The 26,606-nt window shown below is 47.7% G+C and overlaps 1 protein-coding gene, 1 long non-coding RNA gene and 1 pseudogene across 68 annotated transcripts in view, besides 1 other annotated feature; 2 read left to right on the top strand and 1 right to left on the bottom strand.

Annotated features, from left to right (window-relative positions):
- The first annotated feature begins 5,562 nt into the window (after positions 1–5,562).
- LOC112268423 (uncharacterized) lies at positions 5,563–8,113 on the top strand. Its single transcript, XR_002959416.2, has 2 exons — positions 5,563–6,485; positions 7,169–8,113. It is a non-coding gene; the product is annotated as an uncharacterized LOC112268423 (long non-coding RNA).
- RABL2A (RAB, member of RAS oncogene family like 2A) lies at positions 8,065–24,191 on the bottom strand. Of its 62 annotated transcripts, XM_047443047.1 has the most exons (11): positions 24,057–24,191; positions 23,595–23,842; positions 22,744–22,907; positions 18,513–18,542; positions 17,225–17,304; positions 16,327–16,406; positions 10,452–10,563; positions 10,007–10,104; positions 9,593–9,676; positions 9,312–9,426; positions 8,065–8,267 (listed from the first exon to the last, which is right to left on the bottom strand). In XM_047443047.1, exons 3-10 carry the CDS (start codon positions 22,848–22,850, stop codon positions 9,328–9,330), a joined length of 690 nt encoding a protein of 229 aa, XP_047299003.1. In that variant the 5' UTR covers positions 22,851–22,907; positions 23,595–23,842; positions 24,057–24,191; the 3' UTR covers positions 8,065–8,267; positions 9,312–9,327. The 62 variants fall into 62 exon arrangements, 58 of the variants coding, with proteins under 58 accessions (XP_047299003.1, XP_016858694.1, XP_016858704.1 ...); XM_017003205.2 differs by having other exon boundaries at positions 9,977–10,104; positions 22,744–23,842; XM_017003215.2 differs by having other exon boundaries at positions 22,744–23,842.
- Positions 24,122–24,431: a silencer, noted in NCBI's record as "silent region_11885". NCBI's record gives its function as "represses an Ori minimal core promoter by ATAC-STARR-seq in GM12878 lymphoblastoid cells {active_cell/tissue: GM12878}" and the evidence as "EXISTENCE:reporter gene assay evidence [ECO:0000049][PMID:35858748]".
- RPL23AP7 (ribosomal protein L23a pseudogene 7) overlaps positions 24,319–26,606 on the top strand; it is a 15,900-nt pseudogene continuing 13,612 nt past the window's right edge. For 2 of the 5 annotated variants that reach the window (NR_000029.3, NR_024531.1), the window contains exons 1-2: positions 24,319–24,419; positions 25,728–25,848. The product of NR_000029.3 is annotated as a ribosomal protein L23a pseudogene 7, transcript variant 3 (transcript). Of the gene's footprint in view, positions 24,628–24,885; positions 24,980–25,727; positions 25,849–26,606 lie in introns of all 5 variants that reach the window. The other 3 variants (NR_024528.1, NR_024529.1, NR_024530.1) reach the window with 3 other exon arrangements.

The raw sequence follows: 26,606 nt of genomic DNA, 5'->3' as shown, positions 1-26,606 counted from the left end.
ATGAGCTCAGTGTGTCTATTCATTTATTTAGGGTACTGCGTCCTCTGAGTCATGAGCTCAGTGTATCTATTCATTTATTTAGGGTACTGCGTCCTCTGAGTCATGAGCTCAGGGTATCTATTCATTTATTTAGGGTACTGCGTCCTCTGAGTCATGAGCTCAGGGTATCTATTCATTTATTTAGGGTACTGCGTCCTCTGAGTCATGAGCTCAGTGTATCTATTCATTTATTTAGGGTACTGCGTCCTCTGAGTCATGAGCTCAGGGTATCTATTCATTTATTTAGGGTACTGCGTCCTCTGAGTCATGAGCTCAGGGTATCTATTCATTTATTTAGGGTACTGCGTCCTCTGAGTCATGAGCTCAGGGTATCTATTCATTTATTTAGGGTACTGTGTCCTCTGAGTCATGAGCTCAGGGTATCTATTCATTTATTTAGAGTACTGCGTCCTCTGAGTCATGAGCTCAGGGTATCTATTCATTTATTTAGGGTACTGTGTCCTCTGAGTCATGAGCTCAGGGTATCCATTCATTTATTTAGGGTACTGTGTCCTCTGTGCCATGAGCTCAGTGTATCTATTCATTTATTTAGGGTACTGCGTCCTCTGAGTCATGAGCTCAGTGTATCCATTTATTTAGGGTACTGCGTCCTCTGAGTCATGAGCTCAGTGTATCTATTCATTTATTTAGGGTACTGTGTCCTCTGAGTCATGAGCTCAGGGTATCTATTCATTTATTTAGGGTACTGTGTCCTCTGAGTCATGAGCTCAGGGTATCTATTCATTTATTTAGGGTACTGTGTCCTCTGAGTCATGAGCTCAGGGTATCTATTCATTTATTTAGGGCTGCTTCAATTTCTCTCAGCAATGTTTTGTAATTTTGAGTGTGCAGGTTTTTCACATATTTTGTCAGAATTATTTCTCAATATTTCGTATTCTGATATTCAATTGTTGACTGCCAGTATACAGAAATACAATTGATTTTTGTGTGGTTCCCATGTATCTTGAAACCATGCCAAGTTCATTTATTAATTCTGGTGCTCTGTAGCTGCCACTGGATTTCAACATAGACAATCAAGTCTTCTGTGAATAAAGACAGTGTTATTTCTTTCTTTATTTTTGAGATGGAGTCTCGCTCTGTCTTCCAGGCTGGCGTGCAGTGGCACAATCTTGGCTCACTGCAACTTCTGCCTCCCAGGTTCAAGTGATTCTCCTACCTCAGTCTCACGAGTAGTTGGGACTACAGGCATGTGCCAGAACGCCTGGCTAATTTTTGTATTTTTAGTAGAGATTGGGTTTCACCATGTTGGCCAGGCTGGTCTTGAACTCCTGACCTCGGGTGAACCACCCAACTCGGCCTCCCAAAGTGCTGGGGTTACAGGTGTGAGCCTCCACGCCCAACCTTATTTATGTTTTTCTATCTGAAAGCCCTTGTTTTTCTTGCCTTATTTCACAGTACAATGCTGAATGGAAGTGGTGAGAGTGGACATTCTTGTTCCTGAGCTTAAGCATGAAAAGCTTCAGTCTGTTGCCATTAAGTGTGATGTTAACTGTGGGTTTTTCACAAATACCATTTATTAGGCTGAGGATATTTTATTCTCTAAGAAAAATATAGAGGTTTATATTTTTGCTAAGAGGTTTATATTTTTATTTTTTACACAGTAATGAGTGTTGAATTTTGCCAGCTTTTCCTACATTTATTGAGATGATCATGTAATTTTTCTGTTTTTACTTAGTTAATCTGGTGTATTAAATAAACTATTTTAGAACAACTTTAGATTTATAGTAGTCACAGATTGTTACAGATTTAATCCTCTAGTTTGAGACTATTTCTCAGTCTTTCTTTGCTCTTATATGACCTTGACAAATTTGAGGGATAGTTAGGTATTTTGTAGAATATCCCTCCATTTGAATTTGTGTAATATTTTTCTCATGATTATATTGGGATTATGAATTTTGGGAAAAAGTCTCATAGAGACAAATTATCCTCATCACATCCTATCAGGAGTCTACAACATACATATGACAACAGTGATGACATTAACCTTGATCCGTTGGTCAGGGCAGTGTTTTCTGGGTTTCATCACTGTTCGCTTTCTATAAGTGCTTCTTTAGAAGTGAGCCACTCAGTCCAGCCCATTCTCTGTAGTGATGGTGGTTGGGGGTGTTGGCTCCACCCCCTGCAGATGGCAGGAGTTACACATAGTATTTTTAATTTTTCTGTATGAAAGATTTGTCTCTTATTATTCATCTATTCATTATATTAGTGTAGATCCCTAATGTATATTTATTTTATACAGTGGACTATAAACCAATATGACATTATATAATTTGTTGCTCACATTTTTCCAGCTTTGCCCATTGGGAGCCCTTTCATATTGGCTCTTGAGTCCCTTTGACATGCCTTCATCATTTTTTAAATTAAAAAATTATTACTAATTTATTTTTATTTTATGGAGATAGGTTCTTTCTATGTTACAGCCCAGGCTGGTGTGGTCTTGAACTCCCGGCCTCAAGCAATCCTCCTACCTCTGCCTTCCAAAGTGCTGGGATTACAGGTGTGAGCCATTGCACCCGTGGCTTCATTCCCGGCTTCATTTAATTTGTTGAGCACATCCTTCCTTTCTGATATAATAGGTGCTACAGGCTCATTTTGCATTTCCCCTGCTTCAACCCTGGAATCCACCATTTCTCTAAAGTAATCTGGTTTTTTCACTGGAAAGTGTTTTTTTAGAAACTAAGATCTGGACACTGGGTGTGCTTGTCAATACTGAGATGTATTACTTCTAAGCCCTCAAAGCTGGATGAGACAGTTAGGTAATATATGTTGTATACTAACCCATGTACACACATGTATCTATTATTGTTTTTGTATCTATCCATTTTATATATATATAAAGCTAAATGAGAGTTCACGATAATACTTTCACCTCTTATCCAGTACCGCAAGATTTAGTTTATCCTTTTCTTGCTTCCAATACTTTTTTTTTTTTTGAGACAGAATCTTGCACTGTGGCTCAGGCTAGAGTGCAGTGGCGTGTGATCTCAGCTCACTGCAACCTCCCCCTCGTGGGTTCAAGCGATTCTCCTGCTTCAGCCTCCCGAGTAGCTGGGACTATAGGCGCCCACGACCACGCCTGGCTAATTTTTTGTATTTTTAGTAGAGACGGGGTTTCACCATGTTGGCCAGGCTGGTCTCGAACTCCTGACCTCGGGATCCGCCCACCTTGACTTCCCAAAGTGCTGGGATTACAGGCGTGAGCCACCGTGCCCAGGCCCATTAATTTTTTTTTTTTTTTGAGACGGAGTCTCACTCTGTCGCCCGAGCTGGAGTGCAGTGGTGCGATCTCAGCTCACTGCAAGCTCCGCCTCCCGGGTTCATGCCATTCTCCTGTCTCAGCCTCCCGAGTAGCTGGGACTACAGGTGGCCGCCACCATGCCCGGCTAATTTTTTTTGTATTTTTTAGTAGAGATAGGGTTTCACTGTGTTAGCCAGGATGGTCTCGATCTCCTGACCTCGTGATCCGCCCGCCTCGGCCTCCCAAAGTGCTGGGATTACAGGCGTGAGCCACCGCGCCCGGCCCCATTAAATAATTTTTAAATGTTTAACTGACATTGCACTCCTGGGATAAACTCCACTTTAGTCATGTGTATTATCCTTTTAATATGCTGCTGGACTTCTCTTATTTATTTATGTATTTATTTTATTTAGAGGCAGGGTCTCATTCTGTCATCCCAGCTGGAGTGTAGTGGTGCAATCATAGGTCACTGCAGCCTTGAACTCTTGGGCTTAAGCGATCCTTTCATCTCAGCCTCCCTAGTAACTGGGACTACAGTCATGTGCCGCCACACCCAGCTAATTTTAATGTTTTTAGTAAAGACGGGGTTTTGCCATGTCGGCCATGCTGGTCTTGAATTCCTGGCCTCAAGTGATCTGCCCTCCTTGGCCTCCCGAAGTGCTGAGATTACAGGCGTGAGCCACTGCACCCACCCACAATTAATTTTAAAGTATTCTCGTTACTTGAAAATCTGTACCCTTAGCTTCCTGGCCCCCACCAAATTCCTTCCCAACTTCACCGGCAACCCCCCCACCCTAAACAACCACTATCTGTTATTTTTGTCTGTAATCTTTCTGTTCAGTAATCTTTCTGTCTCTGTAGATTTGCCTGTTCTGGACATTTCATATTAATGAAATCGCACAACCTGCGGTGCTTTATACGTGGCGTCTTTCATTCAACATACTTTTTTTTCAGTTTCATCCATGTTGTAGCACATATTAGCACTTCATTTCTTTGTATTTTTGAGTAATATTTCATCGTGTGGATATACCACATTTTATGGATATTTGGATTATTTCCAGCTTTTTGGTTATTATGGATAGTGCTGCTATAACCACTCATATACAAGCTTTTCTGTGAGCACATGTTCTCATTTCTCTTGAGTGTATACCTAGGAGTAGATTTGCAGGATCATATGGTTAACTCGATATTTCACCATTCCAGGACTGCCAAACTGTTTTCCAAAGTGCCTGCACTATTTTACTTCCTCCTCAGCAGTGTATAAGGGTTCCGATTTCTCCACAGCCTCATTAACACTTGCTATTATCTTTTTCATTACCAGTAAGTGGCATCTCATTCTGGTTTTGATTTGCATTTCTCTCATGACTAATGATGTTGAGCATCTTTTCATGTACTTATCGGCCATTTGTATATTTTCTTTGGAGAAATGTGCATTTGCTTCATGTATTTTTAAAAACCATTTTATCGATATACATATTTAAGGTATACCACTTGATGAGTTTGAAATAAGTATATACCCATAAAAACGTCACCACAATGAATGCCATAAACATATTCATCACTTCAAAAAGTTTGCTCCCTCTCTCTTCATTTCTAATTCTCATGTTTTGTGATAAGGACACTTAACATAAGATCTATTTCCAGTAAATCTTTAAGTATGTAATACAGTGTTGTTAACTATAGTCACTATGCTGTACAGGAGGTCTCTAGGACTCATCCCTCCGGCATAGCTGAAGCTTTGCACCCAATGAGCAATGCCTGCTTGTTTCCTCCTCCCCCTAGCCCTTGGCAACCACCATTCTACTCTCTGCTTCTCAGTTTGAATATTTTAGATTCCTTATGTAAGTGAGATCATGTAGTATCTGTCCTACTGTGTCCGGCTTCTTTAACTTAGTATATTTGCTGCAAATGGAAGGATTTCCTTTTTATTTTATTTTATTTTATTTTATTTTGAGACTGAGTCTCGCTCTGTTGCCCAGGCTGGAGTGCAGTGGCGTGATCTAGGCTCACTGCAAGCTCTGCCTTCTGGGTTCACGCCATTCTCCTGCCTCAGCCTCCCAAGTAGCTGGGACTACAGGTGCCCGCCACCATGCCTGGCTAGTTTTTTTTTTTTTTTTTTTTTGTATTTTTAGTAGAGATGGGGTTTCACCGTAGCCAGGATGGTCTCGATCTCCTGACCTTGTGATCCGCTGGCCTCGGCCTCCCAAAGTGCTGGGATTACAGGCGTGAGCCACTGCGCCAGGCCAGGATTTCCTTTTTTAAAAAGGCTGAATGATGTTCCATTGTACGTATATGCCACATTTTCTTTATGTATTCATCCGTGGTTGAAAAAAAAAATTTTTTTAAGCATCTCTTTCAATCTTTGCAGATTGGCTTTGTGCTGGGGCATTCCTTCAACACCTAACCAGGATATTAACAACTCTGTCTTAGCCTTCACTTCTTGATAACCCTGGACCTAGAGATCTTCCAAAGGAAAAAGCTTAGGGTCTTCTCAGATCTTTCCTGAATGCGTGACCTGCCCTGGGTATGTGCATGACATTTGAAATCCCCAATAAACACAAGTATTTTTTGAATGTCCTGATTTCCCAAAGAAACTCTCCCAGATTTTCCTCCCAGGCTTTATGTAATATATTGTATGTCTGAACCACAACTTTTTGTCCCAGGGAGCTGTGGGTTTTTTGGTCATCTCAGAATGTTTTTAAGCAATGCCTGCCACTTTTCTACCTTGAGTGGATTCAGACTTGGGCAAAACAGACAAATGCCTCATTTTAGTCTCTCAGATCGTTTCTGACCGGTTAGAATAGACAAACAAAGTCATTTGTGAATAAGGTCTGCCTTGCTCCCTCTGGAACCTGGGACCTGGGTCCTAAATTGGGAAAATGGACTACTATCTTCAAGATCACCATCAAGCTGATGAAGGGGTGGGGCAAGGGCAAGTGAAAATGCCACACCACTTTTCTGTCACTTTGAAGTTGCCCTTTCCTCATTTCAGGGCTTTCCTGATTGATATAAGTCTTTTACTGTTTTCCAGAGTTCTGGTAAAGTTTCTGCTGCTTTTTCTCCATGTTTCTGTAGAGGGACAGGAGTTTGGAGCTGTCTACTCTGCCATTTTCCTGATGTCACTCCACTTCTGAGTCTTTCCTATCTTTGTGGATAGCAGAGATGTCGATCTCGGATATGATACCCTGTAAGGATGGGGTCCTTCATGATGTGATATACAACTTAATATTCATTATATGGTTTTATGTCCCCAACATGTCTAGTAACCAAGGAGTGGACATAGGAGCGCCCCGCTCGCTAGCACTCTCAGTGACACACTTGGGGAATCTGTGTTTGTGTCTACAGCTTTAGGCTCTGTGAGCTGAAGTCTTGGACTCTGTGAGTGGCAGTGTGGGGAGTGGGGGAGGCATTTCCACCAAGTGATACAGTAAGAGTTTCACTAAACACAAAGCTATGGCTGCTTCCTAGACAGTCCATGCGCTTGTAACTGGCAAGCAGAGTTAGCATTCTGGAAAGAGGTGATTGCCTGTAATCGTCATTAGGAAGAAAGGATGTTGCCAGATAATAATAGGAAGGAGCACTGTATTTGGTACTCAGATGATTCATGCTGTCTCTTGGTACTTGCATGTTTAGATATAACTATGTAAGTGTTAACAACCACCGCCTCATAAAGGCATAGTAAGCAGGGGCTCATACCCCATTAGGCAAGAGGAGCAGGATCAACCCCCCAGGCAAACAACCTAGACCAGCAAAAGTGCTAGCCAGAGAATGAGAGGTGACAAGTATCAGTCTCTGCATGGGGTCCAACTACAATAGCAGGGGCTATGGTTTGTCCTTTCCCATTGACCCTTCTCTTGTACATTCCCCCAGGACTGGTGACCAGTTAGAAACATGGAGCAGCTCTACCTGGATGGAATGAACTTTAAGAAGCAGGTGGATCTGAGCAATGTACACATGGGTGGCTTGTGGATGTTGCTGGCACCCTGCCTAAACATTCATCCTCCAATTGCTTTGAGTTGGAAGCGCACAGTTACCCTTTTCCCCAGAGAACTGACCTTACTGAAACAGAAGGCCCCCTTCCACCTCACACCCTTGGCTGAAGGGCACAAAAGGCCCCTGGTCTTGAGGTAGGACTAACTCTGGAGGGCAATTTGCCCTCCAGAGCTTCCCTGGGACGGGGTGGGGTGGTGAAGCCGGCCTCCAGCTGAGACCACAACCTTGCTGAGCTTCTTGTCTCCTGCCCCCCTCACTCTTCTGAGAATGACCCTAATTAAGTCATTTGAACCACGGCCTTCTCAGGGTCAGCTTCTAAGGAACCTGATACAGAATAGTCCCATAAAACCAACACGATGGTGAACTTTATAGTCTGCAAATTCTATCTCAGTAAGGCTGTTGTATTTTTTTTAAAGTACTTAGTAGTTATTTACAGTAACTACATTTTTTTAAGTTCTACCTCATCAGGGTATACGTTCCTGGGAACCCCTGGTCAGGTCAAACATCTTACGTTGAACATCTAAGTATTGCTGATTTCAAGGGGAAATGTACTTGTTCTTGAGCTCCCAAATTAATAGGTAATTGAATTCTTTTGAAAACACTAAATTCCACTGAAATGGCCTCCAATATAGTGAATTGAGAGTAAACATGGGCTACCCTGCAACAGGTCAAGGCAGCTACCCTTCATTGATAAGGGTGATGATTTGCAGATTCTTTTGTCTTTTTGCTCAGTACACACTTCAGAGCCACAAAGCACATACATTTACTCAATGTTTATGTCATTCAGCCTTTACTGTAAAAAAGGAAACAATAAAAACAAAACCCTATTAATAAACACAATGCAAACAATGCCCGAGATTATCATAAAAACATACTAGCAAGCCACAAGTACCAGAGAGGGGTGAACAGGCATATCTGCTAGCTCTCCTCTTGCAGTCCTCAGCCTCCCACAGGAGGCACAAGGTCCAAACTATTCCTAAAAAAAAAGGACAGCCTCTTTATGCTGAAATAGGAACTTTAAAGGAAGCTCTTCTTGTAGTCCAAATGGACGTACCTTGTGGTATGGCTGTAAGGACTCGATTTTACCGCTTGTGTATTCCTAACTATAGCTAGGCCTGTCACCTGCTGTTCCTGTGATCTCAGCTTTACCTAGAAGAGCTCCTGAAACAGAGTGGGTACACGGAAATCTGGAATGAATAGCTATCTGCTCAAAAACGATTGTTTAAAAACAGATGATTGGGGCCGGGCGCGGTGGCTCATGCCTGTAATCCCAGCACTTTGGGAGGCCGAGGCGGGCGGATCACGAGGTGAGGAGATCGAGACCATCCTGGGCAACATGGTGAAACCCCGTCTCTACTAAAAATACAAAAATTAGCTGGGCGTGGTGATGCCAGCCACTCGGGAGGCTGAGGCAGGAGAATCGTTTGAACCAGGGAGTCAGAGGTTGCAGCGAGCCGAGACTGCGCCACTGCACTCCAGCCTGGCGACAGAGCGAGACTCCGTCTCAGGACGAACAAAGAAACAAACAAACCAGATGACTGGGAGATTGAAGAGGAAAAAAGATGGGAGAAAACGTAGGGAAAGGATGGGGCCTCACAGACTCAGCTGTGGGTGGGGGGGTAATCATTACCTCAGGAGAAGCCCAAGGAATTGTCCCCGAGGTGAGCTTTGGAAAGAAAACAAAAACAAAAACACCAAAAAACACCTAAATTTCCTGTATTAAAGTGACACATAATCATGTTTTCTGATTCTCTTCACTGTCTGCCTGGGGGGAGGGGGTGGGGAAGGTGTTAATGATGCTGATCCCTAATTCTGCTTCAAGGAGATCTGGTGGGGAATTCTTCCACCAGTCCAGAGTTTGCTGGTGCTGACCTCATCCCTGTATCACGGGCCTTGAATGTGGGAGGCTAATAGGATGGGTGGGTTGCAGGAGGTAGAAGAGGGGATGGCCTAGAGAGTTTCTCCATTCAGAGCTGGAGAGTTGTTGAAGGGAAGGGTATTTTAAAAGGGCTCCACCCACCCCTAGCCCCAGCCCCTCAGCTGTGGGGAGAGGCCACCTCCTCTGATGGGGTCTCGATGCTGCTGCTCTGTTCCTGGTCTGGCACGTCCTCCTCTTCCTGCTCCAAGCTGAAGTTCTGTGAACAAGGTCGCAGGTGAGGCCTGGCCCTGCATTTGCTCAACCGCAGCTCTGATACATTTAGTGGGGCAAACTTAGGCAAGAGTCACTCTACTGGGTTGTAGTCCCTATCCCTGAAGAGGAGCCGTTTCTTCCATCCCACCCGAAATGTGGACCTGACCTACCTCGAGCTCCTGAAAAATCTCATCCATGAAGTCCTGGGAGTTCTGTTTGTAAGACACAGCTAATCGAATTGCATCATTGAAGAGCTGGGGGTGAGGTAGAGATGGTGGATGAGAGTGCCTTGGACTCTGCCCAGTCCACCCCACTGGCCCCACTGTGAGACTACACAATACTCCATTCCTAAAATCAGCAACCTTACCCCTCCATTTGCCTCTCCCCGTCACCCTGACCTATGTATGGTCAATGGACTTCTGCCTCATCAAGTCCAGGCCCATCAGCTCCTCCCCTCCCTGCCACCCAGGCCCATGCACTGTCCCAGTTCTCTCCATCACACCTGCAGTAAGCCCTTCTCTTCACAGCTTCCCTTTACCACCTAGCGCCCTGACCTTGCTAGCTACCTCTGCAGTCAACCACACCTTCACAACATTGGTACCATCAGCAGCCGAGACGAAATACAGGGGCAGGGAGAACTTCTTGGCAAAATTGAAGCTTTTTTGGGTCACGTTTATGTCTGCTGTAGAGAGAAGGTAGGACATTGGTCTGTCAAGGGAAGGGAAGAAGGTTTGGAGGGGGGGCCACTGGAGGCCTTCATTCCAGAAAGTGGGATAGGCAGGGATGATTGGGAAACATGTCCTAGAAAGAGCTCAGTTAATAGGGATCTGTGTCTTGGAAAGAGGGCAGGTCGGCTTAGCTGGCTTCTTTATAAGGTGGGAAGAATGCAAGCAACCAACCAAGGGTTGTATCTTATCGTGGGAGGGAGGACCAATCACTGAAGGTTGCCTGCCCGGGGAATGGAGGAGGAAATGTATGAGGGCAGGTCCCCAGTGAATTGCTAACACCCAGGTGCAGGGATGGCCCCACCATCAATTTTATTGGCCACCACGATGCATGGGATCTCTGGCCTGAACTCCCGAAGCTCTGTATACCAGGTGCTCAGGTTCCTATAGGTGACTTTCCTCTGTATATCAAACACCTGCAAAGGGCAGAGGAAGAAAGATAGCTCAGGTATGTCAATGTTTCTGCACCCCATCTCCAGGTGACTCACACACCCAAGCAGGTAAGCATGAGCACATGGTGCTGTTTGTGGGAACGCTCTGAATTGCAGCCTCTCTGACCGCAGAGGCTGCCGTTTCTCAGGGAAGCCCCCTGGAGCCTCCAGATGCGAAAATGTTTTTAAAAATCTTATTCTTGGCCCAGTGCAGTGGCTCACACCTGTAATCCCAGCACTTTGGGAGGTTGAGGCGGGTCAATCACCTGAGGTCAGGAGTTTGAGACCAGCCTGGCCAACATGGTGAAATTCCGTCTCTACTAAAAATGCAAAAAATTAGCTGGGCGTGGTGGCGCATGCCGGTAATCTCAGCTACTTGGGAGGCTGAGGCAGGAGAATTGCTTGAACTAGGGAGACAGAGGTTGCAGTGAGCCCAGATCATGCCATTGCACTCCAGCCTGGGCAACAAGAGCAAAACTCTGTCTGAAATAAACAAATAAATAACGTATTCCTTTTTTGTTATCTTGTCATCTAATCTTATTCACCTATTTTAACAATCATAAATGGAATCAATTTGCCAATTGATGCAGTCTGTTAGAAATTGTAAAAACTTTTGTGTTTTTTAGTCCTCTTGTATTTATTGCTTAAACTGTTTTAAAGTTCCTCTGTAGTAACTGTAAATGTTTCTAGAGTTTTACTTTAGTTACTATTTACTTTTATTTATTTACTTTTTAGAGACAGGGTTTCACTGTCACCCAGGCTAGAATGCAGTGGCTCAATCACAGCTCACTGTAACCTCAAAACTCCTGGGCTCAAGGAATCCTCCTACCTCAGCCTCCCAAGTAGCACGCACGCATTAATTTTTATTTTTTTATTATTTTTTTTTTTGTAGAGGCAGGCTCTCCCTATGTTACCCAGGCTCATCTCAAACTCTTGGCCTGAAGGGATCCTCCCACCTGGGCCTCTAAAGGTGCTGGGGTTACAGGTGTTAGCCATCACAACTGCCCGATTTTTTTTTTTTTTTAGACGGAGTCTCACTCTGTTACCCAGGCTGGAGTGTGGTGGCATAATCTCAGCTCACTGCAACCTTTGCCTTCTGTGTTCAAGTGATTCTCTTGTCTCAGCCTCCTCAGTAGCTGGGACTACAGGTGTGCGCCACCATGCCTGGCTAATTTTTTTATTTTTAGTAGAGACAGGGTTTTGCCGTGTTGGCCAGGCTGGTCTCGAACTCTTGATCTCAAGGGATCTCCATATATGGAGTCTTGCTCTGTTGCCCAGGCTGGAGTGCAGTGGCGCTATCTTGGCTCACTGCCACTGCAACCTCCACTTCCTAGGTTCAAGCGATTCTCTTGTCTCAGCCTCCGGAGTAGCTGGGATTACAGGTGCGCACCACCATGCCTGGCTAATTTTTGTAGTTTTAGTAGAGACAGGGTTTCATCATGTTGGCCAGGCTGGTCTCAAACTCTTGACCTGCAGTAATCTGCCTGCCTAGGCCTCCCAAAGTACTGGGATTACAGGCATGAGCTACTGCACCTGGCTGATTTACTTTTAAGCTTTTGTTTACTTCTTTGTTCTTTCTGCTTTTTGTTTTTTGAGATAGGGTCTTACTCTGTCAGCCAGGCTGGAGTGCAGTGGCAGAATCTTGGCTTACTGCTCCTCCACCCCCTGGGCTCCAGTGATCCTCCTACCTCAGCCTCCTGAGTAGCTGGAACTACAGGCACATGCCACCATGCCTGGCTAATTTTGTTTATTTTTTGTAGAGATGATAAGCTCTCATTATATTAACGAGGCTGGTCTTGGACTCCCGGGCTCAAGTGATCCTCCTGCCTCGGCCTCCCAAATTTCTGGGATTACAGGCATAAGCCACTGTGCCCGGCCTCTTTAAATTTTTTTAAAGTAATTTTTATGTTTTATTATTTGCAGTTCATAATTGTATTACTTTATAATTTGTTTTTACCTATTTTATTTTTATTTATTTATTTATTTTGAGATGGAGTCTTGCTCTGTTGCCCAGGCTAGAGTGCAGTGGCGGTATCTTGGCTCACTGCCACTGCAACCTCCACCTCCTGGGTTCAAACGATTCTCCTGTCTTCAAACGATTCTCCTGTCTCAGCCTCCTGAGTAGCTGGATTACAGGTGCGCGCCACCACGCCTGGCTAATTTTTGTATTTCTAGTAGAGACGGGGTTTCAACATGTTGGTCAGGCTGGTCTCGAACTCCTGACCTCAGGTGATCTGCCCACCTAGGCCTCCCAAAGTACTGGGATTAAAGGCATGAGTCACCGCGCCCAGCCTGTTTCTACCTATTTTAAAATATCAGCAAGAAGGATGAGCACTGCAAACCAGCTCTAAGGGCAGAACTCTGAAAGACAACTGAGCTGCTGCTACAGTGAGCCTTCATGCCCTTCACAGGAGCTCCTCCAAAGTGTCTAGCCCAAACTGCCCTAGTACAACAGTCAGTGGATTAAAGTTACAGACAACCACCACCCTGTAACTGCTGGCACAGCTGACCTCACTTCTAAATCACCCAGCTATTTGTGCAAGCAACATGGTTCAAGCTCAGGGCTAGGGGCTCGCCCTGTGTGGTGGCGGGAGGGTCAGCAACTGTCACATCTCAAGAGGTGGCAGGAAGTCTATGTAGATTCTCTTTCACAGGCAAATTTCAATGAATCACCAGGTTGTCTTGAATTCCCGATGAAGTCTCCTTATAAAGGATGTCTGTAACTAAACTTCTGGAATCTGCCTCACACCAGGCTCAGATGACTTTTGTCCAGATCTGGTTTCCTGAGCATCTGTTCCTTGTTTTGAGAGCTGAGGAGGAACTGGCTAGAATGAGGAGCATCCCCATCTCAAGGTTTCAAGGTGGAGGGTCGAGCCCTGGTTCCGTCTCTGACCCTCAGCTCCCCGTGTGGTCAGAAGGCAAGTGCTTTCTACTTGCCAGGGCCCGTGCAGCAGACTGGGGCTGGTGGCAGGCACCTGCAGACACAGGCATGGTGGCAGGAGAGACACCCCAGGCCTTCAGAAGAGGGTCTGAGGGGAGCCCACGGAGATGCAGCAGATGCAGGAAGCAGTCACTCCAAGAGAAAAAGAGAGGTGAGCTCAAAATACCAAATGCCACTGTAGGCCTGAAACCAAACTGGCTAGGACCAAGCTCCTCTGCTCTTGAGGGTCAGACTTCTGCACTACACTGCCCCCATTTTCCTTGCCCCATTATCCTCTTGTTTAGTACCTTAACAGTTATCAGAGTTAAAGCTTTTGGAATTTTTCAAGGGATTTTGTTCTTAACGGGCAGTCGGGGGAATTAGGTGACGAGTTCCTTCCTTTACCATCTGCAAAGGGTCAGAAGGGAAGAATCCTCACTGTCCTCACCACTGGTATCTGTACTGTGCCTACCAGTCAGTCAGTTCCTGGGGGCAGCACGTGTGTCTTTCCACCTGGGCATTCCCAGCATCCTGCACACGTGCATCACAGACAGTCCATGTTGTGGAAGGGATCAGTGGTGCAGGAGCACACACGGAAGAGCTAAGCTAATGACAAACATCAGAGGAGGCTGCACGGAGGTGGTGGCATTGAAGCAGGGCCTGAAAAATGAGCAGAGTTTCAAATAAAGGGGTGTGAGCTGGGGAGAGGCTGAGGGAAGAGCATGAAGGAAGGTGTGCAGAGGAGCAGGTGACAATGAGCAGAACAGAGCAGCTCCTTCTGCATCCCCTCTGCTATTGCTTCTTACAGATGAGATGACACCTACTCAGCCATGCATCTCTCTCAGTGCCAAGGTAAGGCCGTGCGTATTTACAGACAATCACTAAGTGGGAGGTAGGGCTAGAAAGGTGGGTGTCTAAATGCTATGGGGTGCCATGGCAGACTTTATTTTTTTATTTTTTTATTTTTTTTGAGACAGAGTCTCGCTCTGTTGCCCAGGCTGGAGTGCAGTGGCGCGATCTCGGCTCACTGCAAGCTCCGCCTCCTGGGTTCACGCCATTCTCCTGCCTCAGCCTCCCGAGTAGCTGGGACTACAGGCGCCCGCTACCACGCCCGGCTAATTTTTTTGTATTTTTAGTAGAGACGGGGTTTCACTGTGTTAGCCAGGATGGTCTCGATCTCCTGACCTCGTGATCCGCCCGCCTCGGCCACCCAAAGTGCTGGGATTACAGGCGTGAGCCACCGCACCCGGCCCATGGCAGACTTTATTAATGTATGCCAACAATGGTGGCAACCTGTCCATCCCATGTGTTCTTTTAACCATATGATTCTGGTTCCCCACTGAGAGATGCCATCTGTTTCTTCCCTCTGTGACTATGGACAGAGAGATGCCACATATTCCAGGGCTAGGCCATAAAAGGAAATATAAGTCCCACCGGGTTCTCTTTGGATACTTGATCTTGGGATCTTGGCTGATACTCTGTGAGCAAACCCAAATCAGCCCAACTGACAAACTGTGAAGAAACACGGGGAGTAGAACCTGCTGGTGGTCCAGCCAAGTACCAGTGTGTGTGTGGGGAGATGCCCCAGGCAGTTCCAGCCTGGAACCCAGCCTTGGAGTCTTCTTAGCTGAGACTTCAGACATGGATTCCCGATCCATCAGAAAATGGTTGTTTTGTACCGCCAAGTTTTGGGGTTTTGTGTTAAAGCAAGACCTTGAATGCTATTCCAAGAAGTTTTAGTGACCGAGGTTTTCACTTGGTGACAATTGCTAGGGTTAATAATTCAGAAGACTAGTCTATTACTTTCTGCATTGTTGATGGCTGATATTCATGAAAATGTGGGTTTTTTTTAGATGGAGTTTTGCTCTTGTTGCCCAGGCTGGAGTGCAATGGTGTGATCTCGGCTCACTGCAACCTCTGCCTCCTGGGTTCAAATGATTCTCCTGCCTCAGCCTCCCAAGTAGCTGGGATTACAGGCACCCGCCACCATGCCCGGCTAATTTTTTGTATTTTTAGTAGAGACGGGATTTCACCATGTTGGCCACGCTGGTCTCAAACTGCTGACCTCAGGTGATCCACCCATCTTGGCCTCCCAAAGTGCTGGGATTACAGGCATGAGCCACCGTGCCCAGCCATGAAAATGTTTTTTAAGTGACCCAAAAGAAAAACATGCTCCTTTTCAGCATTTAAAAGTGGTGGCCTGAGAACGCAGCCAGGGAATTCACGGGTAGGAACTTCTATAGGACACAGGTTTACAGAGCTCCTTTCTCCTTTCTCAGCCGTTTCCTCGGCTGCATTTTTCTGTTGGAGCGACTGCTTCACCACACCCGGGTCACCAGGGTGGAGCCGTGAGGACTGCGTCCCGGGCAACACAATGGGAGGCTCGGGGGGAGGCGAGGGGCTGGCCTGAGAGAGAAGGTTCTCTGGGACCCGCAGCATCTACTCAGTCCCAGCATGTGCCCCCTAGGGAAAGGCAGCAGGCAACAGTGGAGGGAGGCCTTGGGAGCTTGTCTGACAGGTTAGGTCCATCAGAGGGACTGTGGCCCTGTTTCAGGCATGTTTGCCTCTTGGATGCTACACCTGATGTTGAAGCCCTGAGCTTGCTGTTCCACCTTTTCTCCACCCATCCCCGCCTACAGAGAGCTCACCTGGCACCTTCTCACTAAGAAGCTCTGGGGAGCAGGTGTGGTTTGAAACATCCCCGGGTGACCCTAAGCCCCCCTCCCACAACACCCAGACTTGGTTACAAGGGCCCAGGGCTGCTAGGCCCCTCACCCCTCAGGCCAGACTTGCCCAGTGCCTTTGTCCACCTCCCCACCGTCTCGTACCATGATGCAGGCATGGGCCTTGTGGTAGTAGGAGGCATGCATGCTCTGGAACCGCTCCTGGCCTGCCGTGTCCCAAAAGTCTGCAATGTGAACACAGACAGACCTACATGCCTGGTGCATTTCTGTGCAAGTCACTAAGATACAACACACATGCGGCACAAACCACAGCACATGTGTGAGTGTACATGGGGAGCACAGGGAGAAACAGAGACTATACAGCCCCACACGTGTGTCTTCAAGACACAGTGCACCTGAGTGTGATGTGAGAGGTGTGTCTTCACCTGTGTGTATGGGAAGACAGTGGGTCAGGGGCCAGGAGGAAGGACAACACACTGGAAGCCCAAGGAGGGAGAAGACAGTTCCCCGTTTCCCACGTGACACGCAGGGTCCTCTAAGTTCCAAACTATTCCAACTTCTCACGTGCGATGACCACAGACGGTAGACAGAGTCAGGCAGGCTGTGTGCCCGGCCAAGGAGAAGATTATGACCCGATGGAAGGTCGCAGCCCGATGTGGGAGATAATGTTCTGACCACATTTATTTTTTCAAACTGGCTGAGTAAGAACCCCTGAAGCTAGGAAAACTACTGCCTCGTCGAAGGCCTCTTATGTTCTTCTTCCCTGAGGTGGGTACAGCCCCCTGACTTCTCCTTTCCTGAACCCTGTCCTGCACAGGTGCTGGCCTGGACGCCAGGTCAGAGGGCTGGGACTTGGCCCCTGCGTGCCCCCTTCCACCCTCCTGGCTCCTGGCTCTCTGGGTTCTCTCTAGCACCCCTTGTCCCTGCCTGGGGTCTCATTTTCTCCCTCTGGACTCTCTCCTTATGAACCTTGCCTCACCTCCCCTCGTCTCCCATTTCCTCTTTCCTGAGGGTCAGCATGTCTTGGCCCTGTGCCACTTACCCACAAGGATGGTCTTGCCATCTACCGTGGCTGTGTGCTTGTACAGGGTCAGGGCGTACGTGGACAGCTGCTGTGGCTGACTGCACTCAGGTTAAGGAGCAAAATCAATAAAAGGGGAGGTAAGGAAGGAGTGGGGAGCAGGGGTGTTTGGTTTGATGAAATGGATCCTCTCCCTCCTCTTCTCTTTGGAGTTATTGAGATTTTAAATCAAATGAATGTTGCAGACAGAGGATCAGCTTCACATACCACTGGTACAAGCTCCATGGAAGGGTGAGGGGTGGGAGGAGATGAGAGTGTGTCCTGGCCATCGAAGTCTGAGGTAAAACACAGAACAGGATTTTACAGACAAGTGTCATAAAAGGCATCATGCAGTTGGAAAATGCAAAAGTGGATACCCCAACTCAATCATGGATGGAGCTTTCGCAGGCTAGAAAGGAAACCCTAACCCTAGGTAGCAACATGACCATTCCAGGGACAGAAGCTCCCACAAGCCATACAGTTGACAAGCTGTCAATCAATTTGGAGTCTGTCTATGTGTGAAACCCTGAGAAAAAGGGTTAAACTCTGGGGATTAACACCTTCCGAGGCTGCAAGAAGCTGGACAGTGTAAAAAGCAGAGCCAAATGACGCAGGTGGGCTGGGTGTGCAGGAGCACTTGGTACAAGGTGGAGTAACACATACTCAGATCTTAAGGCAACTGAGCCTTGGGGTGCCGAGCCTAGGACAGGCAGCAGCAGGCTCCAGGGGCTCCTCTCACCTGTGGTTCTCAGTGGATCCACTTGGGAAGCTGTTTAAAAATCTCCCAGTTGCGGGGAGGAACTCACTCCAAACCTATGTAATATAACAATTCATGGGAGAAAGGTGGGGCTGGCAGCTCCTATTTTACAAAGTTCATTCATATCAGAGATTTTTTTCAATAGTAGGGGGCCCAAGCTTTGAGGTTAGAGAGGTTAAATGACTTGGCCAGTATCAGAAGCTACTGAGGAGGAGGAGGTGGGGTTTGAATCCAGGCATTAGATCCAAACCATTTGCTGTTTGCCATTCTACTGCCCTCTTAATATAAAACAATCCAAATATGAGTAAGGTCCAAAATATACAGCACTGATTGTGCAATGCCATGTGGGTCAATCGGCAAGAAACAAGTGCAGAACAAAACCTGTGCGTTCACTTACCCAATCCTCCTTCCTGTTCCTGGGCTGCTGGTACAAAGGGGTGGGCAGTGGGACACTGATACATGAGCGTGGGAAGACCCACAGGAACAAGGAGTACTTCAAACCTTGAAGGATACAAGCCATCCATGAGAAATCTCTCCATGAGTCTGTAAGCAGAACAGGCAAGGTGGTCAGATGGCGTCTCCATCTCTCCCTTGTCCCAGACTTTTTCACCCTAAGGCTGACAACCTGGAAGCCACCTGTGGCTTCCCTTCCCCCTTTCACTCCACAGCCACACAGCTTCCGGGTCAAGTCTGGAAATTGGGTATCAGCATTACCAACCCGTCATAACAAAACAGCTCATGTCACTATGAGTACACACACCAGCCCACGTGAAGCTCTCAAATCTGTTATTTCCACCAGAGCACAGTTCTGCACATGCAATTACCCTTGTGTTATGCAAAGGGAAACAGAGGCCAGGCCAAAGCTGCGCCTTCCGTTCAAAAGCCATTTCCCGGTCGGGCGCGGTGGCTCACGCCTGTAATCCCAGCACTTTGGGAGGCCGAGAGCAGCCTGGCCAACATGGTGAAGCCCTTGTCTCCACTAAAGATACAAAAAATTAGCCAGGTGTGGCGACACACGCCTGTAATCCCAGCTACTCAGGAGGCTGAGACAGGAGAATCTGCTTAATCTATTGGTTATTGAGAGGACCATCTATTCTGAATGTGGTCAGTTATCCTGTGAAAAAATTAGGCAGACTTGGTCACTCCTCTCTGCAAAACCATCCAGTGGTCCCCCATTTCTTTCAGTTCAAACTCTCCCATTTCTTTTCTCTCCCTCTGTTCTAGCCACTGGCCATTTCCTCCTTTTGTTGTTGAAATGCTCCTGCCAGATATCTGCAAGGCTTACTCCTTGCTTTTTTCAAGTCTTTGACCCAATGTTACCTTTACAACTAGGCCTTCCCTGACCACTCTCTTGACATTGCAACCTTTTTTCCCTCACGTTTTGAAGGGTCACTGCTTGCCTGTCAGTGTAATACACTCTAACCATGATTTTATACTTCTGATATTTAAACTGCAGCTTGAATTGTAAAAGGAGGATAGATTTTATTTATAACTATAAAGAAACAGCACCCTTACTATAAAGAAAACACATCATCTTCTTAGATCACGTAGAAAATTACACAAAGAAATTACCGTGGCCAGAGGTTAAGATGGTCAATGAAAAAGACTCAAGCTCAGAACACTGTCTTGAGAGGGCACATGCTCAGAAAGTGCAGGAGGAAGAGGAGAGATCCATAAACTTGCCTCATCCAAGCAGAAGCAGTGAAAGAATAAAAACACAGGCACAGAGGGATTTTCTTAAGGAAAAGTTGCCTCTGGAAGACAGGATGAAGGAGGGAAAAAGAGGCCCCAGAGACTCATTCCCTCCCAACGTTCTGCAGCTTAGCAGAGAACCAGCTCGGCAGGCCTGAGCTCAAAAACAGAGCAGGCCTACCTCCGGAGGCTCTAGGAAGCTGCCTCTGTCACTGTCACATACACAGATGTTCCCTGTCTTCTTTTCCCAAAAATATTTAGAGTAGGCACTGGTCACTGGTGGCCTAAGCACAACTCCCTCAGGATAATGAGAGCTTGGGACCCAGGGAGTCACATGGTGTGACCTTTCTGCTTGTAAGTTTCCCCCATCACTCTAGTCTGTACTCACACCATGTGGCCTTAGTTTTGGGTGGGGGGGGTGTGCCTTTGCCCTCTTTGCACAACGATGATAGGCAATCATTAACGGTAATGGAAGACCCTAAAGGCCAAGTTAGACAGCTATCAAAGAAAAAAGACAACACATCTGGACCTAACTACTCTTAAAGATGGAATCAGAAAGCCACGTCTTGTTGGCTGGGTGCGGTGGCTCACACCTGTAATCCCAGCGCTTTGGGAGGCCAAGGCAGACAGATCACTTGAGGTTAGGAATTCCAGACCAACCTGGCCAACATGGCAAAACCTCTGCTAAAAATACAAAAAAATTAGCTAGGCATGGTGGCGCATGCCTGTAATCCCAGCTACTCAGGAGGCTGAGGCATGAGAATTGCTTGAACCTGGGAGGCGGAGGTTGCAGTGAGCCGAGATTGCCCCACTGTACTCCAGCCTGGGTGACAGAGCAAGACTCTGTCTCAAAAAAAAACCAAAAAAACAAAAAAACACCATGTCTTGTTATTAAGCAGTATGATCACCTGGGGTCAAAAGAAATCTGGTCGGGTGCAGTGGCTCACACCTGTAATGGCAGCTCAGGAAGGTGGCATGTGCAGGAGCAAAGGAAAAGCCTTCCACAGGAGGCAGTGCCCAGGTCTGAGGTCACCTGTTCACAGGGGGTAGGGGAGCTGTCATCAGAGCCCACCAACAGAGCCCTGAGTGGAATCAAGAAGCATGAACATGCTGCATGAGAAAAAAAAAAAAAGGCACCTTAAAGAAAGCCTGGTGACTGGGGCTGCTACCGTGGTAAATTTCTGAACTCTGCAAGAAGGCCGCACTGCCACAACATTGCTATCTAGAAATGAGGCCGTGTACAACTGACGCCCTTCAGATATGATGAACACAAGTGTTAACTTTTTTTTTTGAGACAGGGTCTTGCTCTGTCACTAGGCTAGAGTGCAGTGGCACAATCATAGCTCACCACAGCCTGATGTGTCAACCTCTTAATGGGTGTTTTAGCCCAACCGAGTTTAGATTCATAGGTTAGAGATACTGAAAATTGGCAGTAGTTCTTGAGTCCAATCAAAACTGAACCACAGTGTTCTCATGCACTCACCTTCCCTCAGATGCACTGTTTCCATCATGGTCTTTGTATCTGGGACAACCTTTTGCCTGAGATACTGCTAGTGGATGAAGACTGGCTTGTTTTCTAATTGTTGTGTCTGTGGAGGCCAATGTTATGGTAATCTTTGACGTCAAGTTAACTACTTGGATTCTTATTTTTTGTTACTGTTTGAAATGAGGCATATAAAGAGACTAGCATTGAACTTGGGAGCTGGGTATACCAAGATACATTCTCCGAAAGCTCTGTTTGTTATTAAAGTGGCAATTTGCTCTACACCTGCCTGCCATTTCTATTCTTTGTTGTTTTAAACTTGAGTGGGGATAAAGGGGGTATTATTTATTGGGTAACCTTCCCAAACTACAACACCTACCCTCACTTTTACTGTACAGGCGTGCTGTTGAGGATGGTCAAAGTAACTATAAAATACTAAACCAGAGGCCGGGCGCGGTGGCTCATGCCTATAATCCCAGCACTTTCGGAGGCTGAGGTGGGCGGATCACGAGGTCAGGAGATCAAGACCATCCTGGCTAACAAGGTGAAGCCCCGTCTCTACTAAAAATACAAAAATAAAATTAGCTGGGTGTGGTGGCGGGCGCCTGTAGTCCTAGCTACTCGCAAGGCTGTGGCAGGAGAATGGTGTGAACCCGGGAGGCGGAGCTTGCAGTGAGCCGAGATCACGTCACTGCACTCCAGCCTGGGGGACAGAGCGAGACTCCGTCTCAAAAAAAAAAAAAAAATTCTAAACCAGAGCTGCAGTGTGTGATTGTGTGGTGGGGAAGAGAGAGAGAGAGAGAGACAGAGAATTCAAATTCATGGAGATGGCCTAAAAACCAGCAAAGCCCCCAGAGAATTATTCACAGCTACCTGAGTCAAAGGACTTGACTATAAAAATGAAGGTAGAAACCAAGGTGGGCCTGGAGTACTTGGGAGATAAACGTGACCACTTCTCTGGGCAGGGGCAAGTGTACCGTCATGCTATGAAGGCGGAAATGGACATGTGCCCTCAGCAGTCCTAGGCGTGAGAACTAGGACGTCTCATGGAGACAAGCTGGCAGCACGGCAGAGCCTCCCTTCACCTCTCCAGGTGGCATGTAGGCACCGAAATTCATTACAAGAAGAAGCCAGTCTTCACAATGATTATAGTCAATCGTCAGTTCTACCCAGTTTTCTCTATTTCAGAGAGTCCCTCCAAGAAAGCATCTTTACCACCTTTACCCAATCTGTCACGGTGGCATAGTCACTTTTGTCTTTCCATTCCCACTCCCCGCCCTTGCCATCCCTCAGCCCACAAACCACATACAATGTCCTCAGTTGCTCCACACGTTCTCTCAGGGCTCAGAGGAAACATTCAAATTCCTCAGTCCTTATGACCTGCCCCCTCCACCCGACACACACAACGGGTCATGTGATTCCCCTCGTTCCCCCATGAACATCTGGGCTCCAGCCAAGACTGCTCCTTCACCAGCCCCAAGAAGCCATGCTCCTCTGCCTCTGGAGGACTTTTTAAATGACCTGGACCCTCTCTGGGGCTGGTATTTATTCCCTAATCTCCCAACATACTTGGATTTGCCCACTGCGCTGTCTCCCAGGCAGATGATCTTCACGTTGTCATCAGCATCATACTTCCCTTGGTCCAACTCACTCGGTTTGGTTTTGTCTTCTGCCATTGGCTCCTAGCTGTAGAGAGGGGTCCAGCCCAAGGGAGGGGAGGGTATTGTCACTGTCTGGGAAGATCAACAAGAGGCTGTTGTCAGAGATAAGTCCCCTCAACCAAATCTCCAGCTGTACCTCCATCCAGACTGCTTCCCTCAGTGCCAGACTGAGATATGGTATGCAATTGGCTACTAGACTTGGAGTAGCAGAGGATGACACACAGGCATCAGTAATATGTTATACACAAATAGTTAAGTCCTGCGCACCCCAAATGCTGCTCCTCACGTTACCCATTTGCACAAGACATTCACCAGGCATCCAGTGCCAAAGGCTGTGTGCAACATTATGTCTAGCTCTGTTTTACTCTCCTCACACCTAAATATGACTTTGCAGACATTCCTGAGAATGTAACCACAGTCCAGACTCTTAGCTAGGGGGGCACATAGAAATGATATGATGATGAGATAGCAGCAATAGGTGAGCCTTACTGGGCATTCACCATGAGCAGACCTTGCACAGGGTTCAGAGGATGGAAGACACAATGATAGCAGAGTCTACTGTGGTGAGAGCTACGACAGAAGTATGCACACGGGTCAGGGGTAGAAAATACCAACAGGGCCCCCGAGTTTTCCTGACTGTGCCACCACACAGCTACTGCTTCTGCACAGCCAGGGACTTCGCCTTGTTTATCCAGGGAGACAATTCCTGGGAAGTGGCAGATGCCTGGAAAGCATGATGAGGGGTCTGCCCCCTTTCACCTGTACCCTGTAGAGAGAGCGACAGAAAGCCAAATCCAGCTTCATGGCTCCATGCTTGAAGACGTTCTTTCTTTTGTTTAGAGATAGGGTCTCACTCTGTCGCCCAGGCTGGAGTGCAGTGGCGCGATCACGGCTCACTGCAGCCTCCAACTCCTGGACTCAAGCGATCCTCCCTCCTCGGCATCCCTGGACTATAGGCGTGAGCCACCGCTTACGGGCGAAGACTTGCTTGTCGATGTCCTCGCCATCTAAGTGGGTATGCTATCTTTCGATAAATGTTTTTGGCCACCAACCATGTCCAGGCATCGCCAGGCTGCCCGTCCCGCCCCCCACAACAGCCTCGCGAAGCCACCTTTCCGTGCTTCCCCCGACCCGGACGCCCTCTCGCCCACACCGCTAGGGAGGCCTCGGAGGGGCTGTCCCCGCGTGCTAAGCCAGCCACCGGGGCGGATTTGCCCTCACGTGCGGTTCCGAGTGAGGGCTGGAGAGACCAGGGACGCTGCGGGTCGGCCCCTCGGGCCCTGCCGCCAGTCTGGACTCTGCGCGCTCTCGAACCACCCCGCCGGCCCAGCTCGCACCGCAGCGCACTCCACTTCCGGCTCGCCCCGCGTCCTCGCAGCTGCTACGCAACCGCGCAAGGACCCCGAGGGAGGCTGCCCGGCCGAAGGCCTGAAGGACCCCGCCGGGGCGCTGGCTGCCCAGCGCGGCGCCTGGCGGGAGGGCCGCAGGGAGTGCGCATGCGGCCGAGTGCGGGACTGGGGCTCCTGGCTGTGGGTGTGGTACTGAGGCTTCAGCGGGTGCCGCCCGCCTAGAGGGAGTGGAGCGGTGAGCACGTCAGGGGTGGGGGGCGCAGGTCAAGCTTTCACCAGTTTTTAATTCTTTGATGGGGTAAATTTGAGCAATTTTCTCGACTTGTCGACATTCGTTATTAACTGAGCAGGAATCAGGAGAGGAACCCGGTCCTCTCCACACAGCCCAGCAGGTACGCCGCCCATGTGCCTGTGGAGAAGAGAGGTTCCTGTGGGGCAGACAGGTGTGGACCAAGTAGCTGTGAAATTTCTTCTGAAGAAAACACACAAGGAGGAAGCGAGTGAGCTCAGTGGAGGAGGGGCGCTACCCCAGGGGACGTCCCCATGCATGGGCTTGTGAACCTCGAATATGTGAGACGGTCTCAGTCAATTTAGAAAGTTTATTTTGCCAAGGTTGAGGACGCACGCCCGTGACACAGCCTCAGGAGGTCTTGACATGTGCCAAAGGTGGTCGGGACACAGCTTGCTTTTATACATTTTAGGGAGACAGGAGACATCAATATATGTAAGATGAACGTTGGTTCCCTCGGGAAAGGCGGGACAACTCGAAGCAGGGAGGGGGCTTCCAGGTCACAGGTAGGTGAGAGACAAACTGTTGTATTCTTTCGGGTTTCTGAATAGCCTCCGCAAAGGAGGCTATCACATATTAACCTATCTCAGTGAGCAGAGGGGTGACTTTGAATAGATGGGGAGGCAGGTTTGCCCTAAGCAGTTCCCAGCTTTTTTCCCTTTAGCTTAGTGATTTTGGGGCCCCCAGATTCATTTTCCTTTCACAGGCTAGACAGCTTTAGGAACTGAAAGGTTCACGAGGCTGTAACGAAGAGTCGAGTTGCTCCAGGTGAGCCTGGGCCACAACAGCAGGCAGGACCTGGGCGCCCACGAGGGGCTCCTGGGAGGGTTCGGGAAAGGGATGTGTGAACCCTATCTGAGATGGTTTCAGGTAATTTAGAAAGACGTGCACCCGTGACACAGCCTCAGGAGGTCTTGACGACATGTGCCCAAGGTGGTCAGGGCACAGCTTGGTTTTAGGGAGACATGAGACATCAATCAATATATGTAAGAAGTACGTTGCTTCCATCCAGAAAGGTGGGGACAACTGGAAGCAGGGAGGGGGCTTCCAAGGTCACAGGTAGGTGAGAGACAAAGGTTGCATTGTTTTGAGTTTCTGATTAGCCTCTCCAAAGCAGGGAATCAGATATGCACCTATCTTAGTGAGGAGATAGGTGACTTGGAATAGAAAGGGAGGCAGGTTTGCCCTGAGCAGTTCCCAGCTTGACTTTTCCTTTAGCTTAGTAATTTTGGGTCCCCAAAATTTTCCTTTCAGAGAGCCTACGACTAGATTTGCATCTTTACGTCCTGCGCGGAGGCTGCTACACACATGCAGAAGTCATGCTGGTGGCCTGGACATTGAAGGGAGAGAAGTGGATTTGGGAGACATTTAGGAGGTAAGATTGCTAGGACCTTGGTGATAGCTTGGACATGGAGGGTGGAGGAGGAGGGGTGTCTAGCATAATGCTCTTAGGTTACCACCTGGGATATTAGGGAGAGTGAGCAGGCTGTTTTTTGTTTGTTAGGCAGAACTTGGTTTTGCGGTGCAGTAGGGTGCCTGGAGCCGAAAGCCTGACTTCCTCACACAGGCCAGACCCCACATGTGACTGCCAGGCCACTTTGAGGCTGAGAGAGATGGTTTTGTCTGGCCTCTGTCCTGCACATGTTTACGGATGACCTCTGTGTTGGCAGATTTGGGGGTCCGCCAGATAGGATCCTGTGAAGAGACCTCAAAGGTCTTTAGTCCAATCTATAAAACATTTTTATGTTGATTATATCATTTCCACAATCAAAGATGAAGAATATATACAGAGGTGTATTTAGTGAATAAGGTTGATGGTGCACCTGCGCTAGGCAGTGTTTTAGTTCGTTGAGACACCAAGGAGTTGAGACAATCCTTTCTTTACCTCAGAGTTTTGTGTGTGTAAGTCCTGCTGTTGAGAGGTGTGTGTGTTAAAATGTCTGATTTGGGCAGGTGAGATCTGGGCCCTCTGTAAGGTTAGGTAACAGGAGGTTGGTGTCCAGCAAATATTCAGTGCCCCATCAACATCCCAGTTCTTGTCCACCAATCTTCCAATTCTAGGACTGATGCGGAGGCCCTCAGAGCGACTTCAGAGGAGAAGTAGTATGCTCTGTGGCTATCTTGTTTTGGAGT

Source organism: Homo sapiens, chromosome 2 (genome assembly GCF_000001405.40).
Source record: "Homo sapiens chromosome 2, GRCh38.p14 Primary Assembly".
Taxonomy (NCBI): Eukaryota; Metazoa; Chordata; class Mammalia; order Primates; family Hominidae; genus Homo; species Homo sapiens.
This window is presented reverse-complemented; position numbering and strand designations above follow the sequence as displayed.

Bases quoted from the DNA above. Each gene is read 5' to 3' on its own strand.
- RABL2A (XM_017003207.2), bottom strand. From the start codon at position 22,850: ATGGCAGAAGACAAAACCAAACCGAGTGAGTTGGACCAAGGGAAGTAT. The intron at 17,305-18,512 runs GTATCCTTCAAG...ACCTGAGTGCAG, and splicing joins AGATTTCTCATGGATGGCTT to TCAGCCACAGCAGCTGTCCA. The intron at 16,407-17,224 runs GTAAGTGGCACA...TTCACATTGCAG, and splicing joins TGGCAAGACCATCCTTGTGG to ACTTTTGGGACACGGCAGGC.